At 36.1% G+C, this 7,743-nt stretch overlaps 1 annotated feature.

The window, feature by feature from the left end:
- Positions 3,859-4,028: an enhancer, noted in NCBI's record as "experimental_14849 CRE fragment used in MPRA reporter constructs". NCBI's record gives its function as "activates a minimal promoter by MPRAs in K562 erythroleukemia cells, with activity observed for both the introgressed and non-introgressed 10:67049519 variant alleles {active_cell/tissue: K562}" and the evidence as "EXISTENCE:reporter gene assay evidence [ECO:0000049][PMID:34662402]".

Below are 7,743 nucleotides of genomic sequence, written 5' to 3'. Positions count from 1 at the left end.
CGTGGTATTTCTTTTGTTAAAAGAAAACTTCAGACAAATTAAATTTGATGCAGTTTAATTGGGCCAAAAGAAACAATTCATGAATCGGGCAGTCTCCAGAATCACAGCAGATTCAGAGAGACTCCAGGGGTGCCTCATGGTCAGAACAAATTTATAGACAAAAAAAGTAAATTGACATACAGCGTCGGAAGTGAGGTACAGAAACAGTTGGATTGGTTACAGGTGGGCGTTTGCCTTGTTTGAACACAGTTTGAACCCTCTGCAGTCTATCAGTGGTTAAAGTATGGCCACTGGGATTGGCCAACATTCAGCTATTGTTACAGGCACATACTCCTAAGTTAGGTTTTTAATCTTGTCTGCCTATTAAGCTAGGTTATGGTTCATCCTCAGGAGTCAAATATAGAAATACGGAGTCCTTCTCATGCCATTTTTAGTTTGCTTTAACACTTTAGAGAAACCAAATGAAATACTGCTTTTGGCTGGGTGCGGTGGGTCATACATGTAGTCCCAATACTTTGGAAGGCCTAAGCAGGTGGATTGTTTGAGGCCAGGAGTTTGAGACCAGTGTGGGCAGTACAAAGAGACCCTCATCTCTACAAAATATTTTTAAAATAAGATAATTAGCCAGATGCGGTGGGGCATGCCTGTAGTCCCAGCTACTTGGGAGCCTGAGATGGGAGCATTGCTTGAGCTCAGAAGTCTGAGGCTGCAGTGAGCCATGATTGTGCTGCTGAACTCCAGCCTATACAACAGAGTGAGACCCTGTCACTTCAGGAAAAAAACAACAACAACAACAACCTTCTTTTGAGAATAGCCTATCTGGGAGAAGATAAAGGAAATAATTTATGGACAGTGCCTCTTATTTTCAATTTTCCACTGGCAAAATTCCCCTGCCCTTCCCTGTTGCATCATCTGACCTGTTCTGGCCATGGGAGAAGTATCACAGAAAGCCAAAGTGGCCACATGTCCAATGAGGCAAGAGCGTAACAGAAGCAATCTCTCTTGGCCAGTTAGTGCCGTGAGAGTCTCCTCAATTTGTAGTGGTAGAAATTAGCCAAGTTATGTCTATGGGCAAACTACCTTCATAAATGGAGAAACAACAAATGCTATTGCTTGAACAGCTCAGGTGGCATCTGAAATAAGCGAAGAAAATGTGTTATAATAAGGGTATAGGAACAACTGGATAGCCATATGGAAAGATTGGATTCATTCTTTACAATGTAAAACAGAATATATTTTAAACAGGTTAAAATTCTAAATGGAAAAATTAAAGTTATACAAGTCATAGAATAAACCATGGGTATATTCCCTGTAAGCAGGGAAAGGGGAAAATTGTTTACTATGGCTTAATTTTCCCCCACCAAAAAAAGATAAAAGATTAATGAATTTGACTACATGAAAAAATGTTTGACATGACAAAAATAAGCAAAACCAAAATATAAGTAACAAACTGATATTTATCTCAAAAATACATTGCCAAAAATAAAAAAAAACTGATTTGGCATAAAGCTATTCACTACATTATACTAATAATAGGCAAAGACAGAAAGCCCCTTAAATATCTTTCAATAAGTACTGGTTGAAAACCAGTTTCATTTGGTTGCATCCAAATGAAGCACTGAGCAACTATAAAAAGAAATAATATTTATGTATTATTTTGTATATATTCGTAAGAAAGAAAGACACAGAAAAGCAAATATGAATGCTAATATTTATGTAGGAATATAGGTAGTATATGTATTTTTCTATTTGTATTTTTTAAAATATATTAATAACACAAATCTAATAGAAATTGCTACCTATAGCAAAAGGAAAGAATAGTGTCAATAGGATAGAGCTAAAGGCTAGATCACACTAAACCATGTAAATATTTTACAAAATTAAAGCCTAAAATTAACATTTAAAAAGGCAATTAGTGAAATTAAAAAAAAATTAACAATTTAAGCATAACTTTTTATCAACTTGGTGGTATGGTCATGCAGAGAATAACTATAAAACAACTGTGAAACAGCCTTTTGCTTGTCCATATATAGTAGTACATATCTTTATGCAAATAATGATAATAGCATTGAAATCTAAATCTACATTACTGCATTCATAAATCTTATTTTTAATATTGATGTTCAATATCTATTTATGTAACTTTTATATGTGTGTATGCATACATATATAAAGATTTTAGCATAAGATAAACATATGTAAATAATGAGGCCAGGCACGGTGACTCATTCCTGTAATCCCAAAGCTTTGGGAGGTAAAAATAGGAGGATTGCTTGAAGCCAGGAGTTTGATACCAGTCAGAGAACACAACAAGACCACATCTCTACAAATAAATACATCAAATTATTCAGGCATGGTGGTGCACACCTGTAGTTCTAGCAAGTTGGGAAGCTGAGATGAGAGCATTGCTTGAGCCCAGGAGTCAGAGCTTGCAGTAAGCTATGAATGTACCACTACACTCCAGCCTAGATAACAAAGAAAGACTCTGACTCAAAAAAAAAAAAGTATATAGATAATGAATCAAAAATAACAATTAAAAACTTGACAACCTTAGATCATGAACTTAAAATATCAGTATAAAAATATAATTAATTTTTCTAAAAAATTTGCATAGTTTCTATCTCTCTCGATGAATATGATGGCAATAACAACCTAGTAATATTTAGCAATCCTAGCATCTTTAAATACCTGGTCTTCAAATACAAATTCCCACTAAAAAATGCTAGTACTCCTTAGAGAATGAGCTGATTTTTGTTGTTGTTATTTTGAGCAAGACATTTCCAAGATGAGGCTGGAGTATTTTATTTGGCTTAAAGGCCAGAAAACTTTCAAGAAATAACGATGTCATATCTGTAGGAATAGGAAAGCAATTTGAAAAGACTCTCACTGGGGAAAAATGAGATCATCTAAATATCAAAAATGATAACTGCAGTGGATGTAACATCAAAGAAACAAAAATCTGTAGGTTTAAGAGAATGCTCCATAAATATATTTAAAAATATAACATCACTGAAGATTTTTAAGATTAATTAGATTACCAACTCATTATTCCAAAAATTTAAACATAAAGTTAAAGAAGTAAATATTGATATGTCTTTCCTACACAGACTATATTTCAGAGAAGTTATATCATTAATGAAGAAAATTTATTATTTTTTTCTAGAAGAATCATAGCTAGTAAATGCAAAAGAGATATAAGAATTAGAAAAGCAAGCACTTTACAATCCCCTCAGGATGCTAAAAGCTCTAGGTAAAATGATGATAGCTTTATAATGGATTGAATCAGATAGACAACACTTCACTCAATCTTAACATCATTTAATTTGAAATGACCAGAGTTTATGTGCCTCATGATGTGATGCAATAATATGTGTGCGGAAAAATCTATGAAGTGTGCTTGCTATAAAAAAAAAGGAAAGAAGGGAGGAAGGAAGGAAGCAAGGAAGGAAGGACGGAAGGAAGGAAAGGAGGGAGGGAGGGAGAGACGAGGGGAGGGGAAGGGAGGGGAGAGGAGGGGAGGAGTGAAGGAGGGAGGGAGGAAGCAGGAAGGGGAGGAAATGCAAATCTAAAAAACCCTCTATATTTAAATACCAGTTTATAGAAATTGATGGAATAAAGCAACATGATAAGAGTCTACAAAATGATATGCTCATCTAAATGCAAACTGTAGGAAATATATCTGGAGGAGAGAAAACTGTTGTATAAAAATATTATTAAAGGAACTATCAGCCAAACGAGGAGACTTTGGATACTGATTTGAGCTAACAAATATGAATAGTTTTGTGGTAATTGGTGAAAATTGAACACACTGAGCCTTGGAATATTAAGAAATTATTCATTTTGTTCTATGGTTATGTTTTTTAAAGTCTTAATTTATTACAGTTACATAATGAAATATTTTAAAAAATAATAAAACATAAACCTTTAGCAGAAATAATGGGTGAGATATACAAGAATGGAAGATACTGGTATTTGTTGAAGTTGGGTAAAATTACATGGAGGTAATTTTTTTTATCTTTGTTTATGTAAGAAAAAATTTGTAATAAAAATTTAAACTAAAAATAAGAAATAAAAATTAAATGCCTACAAAGTAGACAATTGAAAAGACCGAATATCCTCAGTAATACCTAAGGAATTTACTAGGAAATGTCAATTGGCAGGGAGTGAGAAAGACAGTAGGGTTGGTTATTTGCCTAATAATTTTCATGCCTTATCTTCCATAATTTTTATAAGAAATTCTTTCTTTTTCAGATTTAACTCTCATCCTAAGGAGGCAAGAGGACCTTTAAGACAATTTTTTTAGTGGCCACTGCCCTGTTAGCTCAATACCTGTGTTTTTAAAGCCAAAGTAGTATAAGAAATACTAGAGTAGGTTTCTTTTTCTTTTTCTTTTCTTTTTTTTTTTTTTTTTTTGTTGGAGACAGAGTCTCACTTTGTCACCAGGCTGGAGTGCAGTGGCATGATCTCGGCTCACTGCAACCCCCATCTCCCTGATTCAAGCAATTCTCCTGCCTCAGCTTCCCGAGTAGCTGGAACTACAGGCACGTGCCACCACGCCCAGCTAATTTCTGTATTTTTAATAAAGATGAGGTTTCACCATGCTGGCCAGGATGGTCTTGATCTCTTGACCACATGAACTGCCCGCCTCGGCCTCCCAAAGTGCTGGGATTACAGGTGTGAGCCACCGTGGCTGTCCGAGTAGGTTTATTTTATTCAATTTTAAATTCAAAATTGGGACAAAATATTACCTTAATTTGATTTCCTGATAAAATGTTTTAATCTCTAAAATATTGAAATCATAAGAATAGATATAAAAGTAATAATTTCCCTCTTTATAACAGGTAATGAAAGTTGAAAAACTTCAAGGGACAATGTTATTTGACCCATAATTCTAGGAAATTTATTCGTAACCTAGACTTTTATTAATGCCAAAAAAAGGTAAAAACTTTTCTAATGTAGTATGCAAAACTACTTTTAAATTCAAATGATAATAGACAAATCTTCCATTACTTTTGCAAATTACAGAGGCATTCTTTCAAAATCAAACAAGATTATAATGTTTATTTATCTTCCATAAAATAGTTAATATTTTCTGGTTTATTCTTTCTAGAAATATAAATCTGTGGCCCTAAAAATTAACCATAGAACTATTTAAAATTTTACATTTATATTTCATGTTTGTTTTATTGTCTAGTACTTTAATTATCTTCATAATATCACAAATATTAGAACAATTCCATACTTCAAATCTTAACAAATCACTAAATATAACACATTCAGTACACTCCACGAGATATAAAATTCATATCCAATTAGAAAATTACTACTGTCTAAGATCATCTTTTGTATAGATTAACCTTTTTCCAATAAAAGACAGTAAGAGTATATATTTAATGAATATAAATGTTCCTATATTATCACTGAGCTCTGCACCTGAATATCCTTTTGTCTGCTTTCTCCTCTTGGATATCCTCATGTCCAAACCAGAATTCTGTTTTCCTACAAACCTGAATTTCTTCCTGTAATATTTATCTCTATGAATGCACTATAATGCTTCTATATGCCTAAATAAGAAAATAAGTGGCCATTTTGAGTTATTTCCCTCTACTATTTTCCATTTGAAATCAATGTCTCAGTCTGGTTAATTCAATTTCTTGGTGTTTTGGTATTTTACTTCACTTTTAAAATTTAATTATGGCCCTCAGCATTGTATATCTACATCCTGCAACAAATATATTAGTTTCTTACTGCCAAGTCATCCATCCATTCATTCATGCATGCCTATATTCATTCAATAAATATTTATTAAAAATCAACTATGTGTCAAGCACTGCTCTATCTGCTGGGATATAGCAGTTTAAAAAAAAAAAAAAGGAACAAAATTGCCTTCCATCATAGAAATTACATCCTGGTGGAAATGTATTGTGAGTGTGTCCTGTGATTGTGCTAGCAGGATAATATAATCTGTAATCTAATTGTAGACCTAACAGAATCATTCCTCTTCATTGCATTTTTCAGCGGCTCCCCGTTCCTCAACGGAGAAAAAAAAAGATGATGATGAAGCAAAGCTTTTAATGTGGCAAACCCTTTATAACTTTATAACATTTCTTATGTATTTTTTTGCCTTATATTGGACACTTCAACCCTGATATGGTTTGGTTGTGTCCCTACCAAATCTCAGCTTGAATCGTATCTCCCAGAATTCCCATGTGTTGTTGGAGGGACCCAGGGGGAGGTAATTGAATCATGGGGACACGGTCTTTCCCATGCTATTCTCATGACAGTAAATAAGTCACATGAGATCTGATGGGTTTAGCAGGGGTTTTTGCTTTTGCTTCTTGCCCATTTTTCTCTTGCTGCTGCCATGTAAGAAGTGCCTTTCACTTCCTGCCATGATTCTGAGGCCTCCCCAGCCATGTGGAACTGTAAGTCCAATTAAAGCTCTTTTTCTTCCCAGTCTCAGGTATGCCTTTATCAGCAGCATGAAAATGGACTAATACAGTAAATTGGTACCAGTAGAGTGGGGCATTGCTGAAGATACCTGAAAATGTGGAGGCAACTTTGGAATTGGGTAACAGGCAGAGATTGGAACAGTTTGAAGGGCTCAGAAGAAGATAGGAAAATATGGAAAAGTTTGGAACCTCCTAGAGACTTGTTGAATGGCTTTGCCCAAAACGTTGATAGTGATATGAACAACAAAATCTAGGCTGAGGTGGTCTCAGATGGAGATGAGGAACTTGTTAGGAATTGGAGAAAAGGTGATTCTTGTTATGTTTTAGCAAAGAGACTGGTGGCATTTTACCCCTGCCCTAGAGATTTATGGAACTTCAAACTTGAGAGAGATGATTTAGGGTATCTGGGGGAAGAAATTTCTAAGCAGCAAAACATTCAAGGGGTGACTAGGGTACTGTTAAAGGCATTCAGTTTTAAAAGGATAACAGAGCATAAAAGTTTAGAAAATTTGCAGCCTGACTACACAATAGAAAAGAAAAACCCATTTTCAGGGAAAAATATCTCCAGGACATGTCAGAGACCTTCATGGCAGCCCCTCCTATCACAAGCCTGGAGGCCCAGGAGAAAAAAGTGGTTTTCTGGGTCAGACCAAGGGTCTTAGTGCTGTGTGTAGCCTAGGGACTTGGTACCCTGTGTCCCAGCTGCTCCAGCCATAGCTGAAAGGGGCCAACATAGAGCTCGGGCTGTGGCTTCAGAGGGTGGAAGCTCCAATCCTTGGCAGCTTTCACGTGGTGTTAGACTGTGGGGGCATAGAAGTAAAAAAACTGAGGTTTGGAAACCTCCGCCTACATTTCAGAAGATGTATGGAAACGCCTGGATGCCCAGGCAAAAGTTTGTTGCAGGGACAGGGCCCTCATGGAGAACTTCTGCTAGGGCAGTGTGGAAGGAAAATGTGGGGTCAGAGCCCCCACACAGAGTCCCTACTGGGGTGCTGCCTAGTGGAGTTCTGAGAAGAAGGCCACTGTCCTCCAAACCCCAGAATGGTAGATCCACTGACAGTTTGAACCGTGTGCCTGGAAAAGCTGCCAACACTTAACACCAGCTCCTGAAAGCAGCCAGGAGGGAGGTTTTACTCACCAAGCCACAGGGTCGGAGCTGTCCAAGACCATGGGAACCCACCTCTTGCATCAGCATGACCTGGATGTGAGACCTGGAGTCAAATGACATCATTTTGGAGCTTTAAAGTTTGACTTACCTGCTGGATTTCAGACCTGCATGGGCCCTGTAACT

This window comes from Homo sapiens, chromosome 10 (assembly GCF_000001405.40).
Source record: "Homo sapiens chromosome 10, GRCh38.p14 Primary Assembly".
In the NCBI taxonomy this organism is placed as follows: Eukaryota; Metazoa; Chordata; class Mammalia; order Primates; family Hominidae; genus Homo; species Homo sapiens.
Note: the sequence above shows the minus strand (reverse complement) of the source record. Positions and strands in the feature narration are given on the sequence as shown.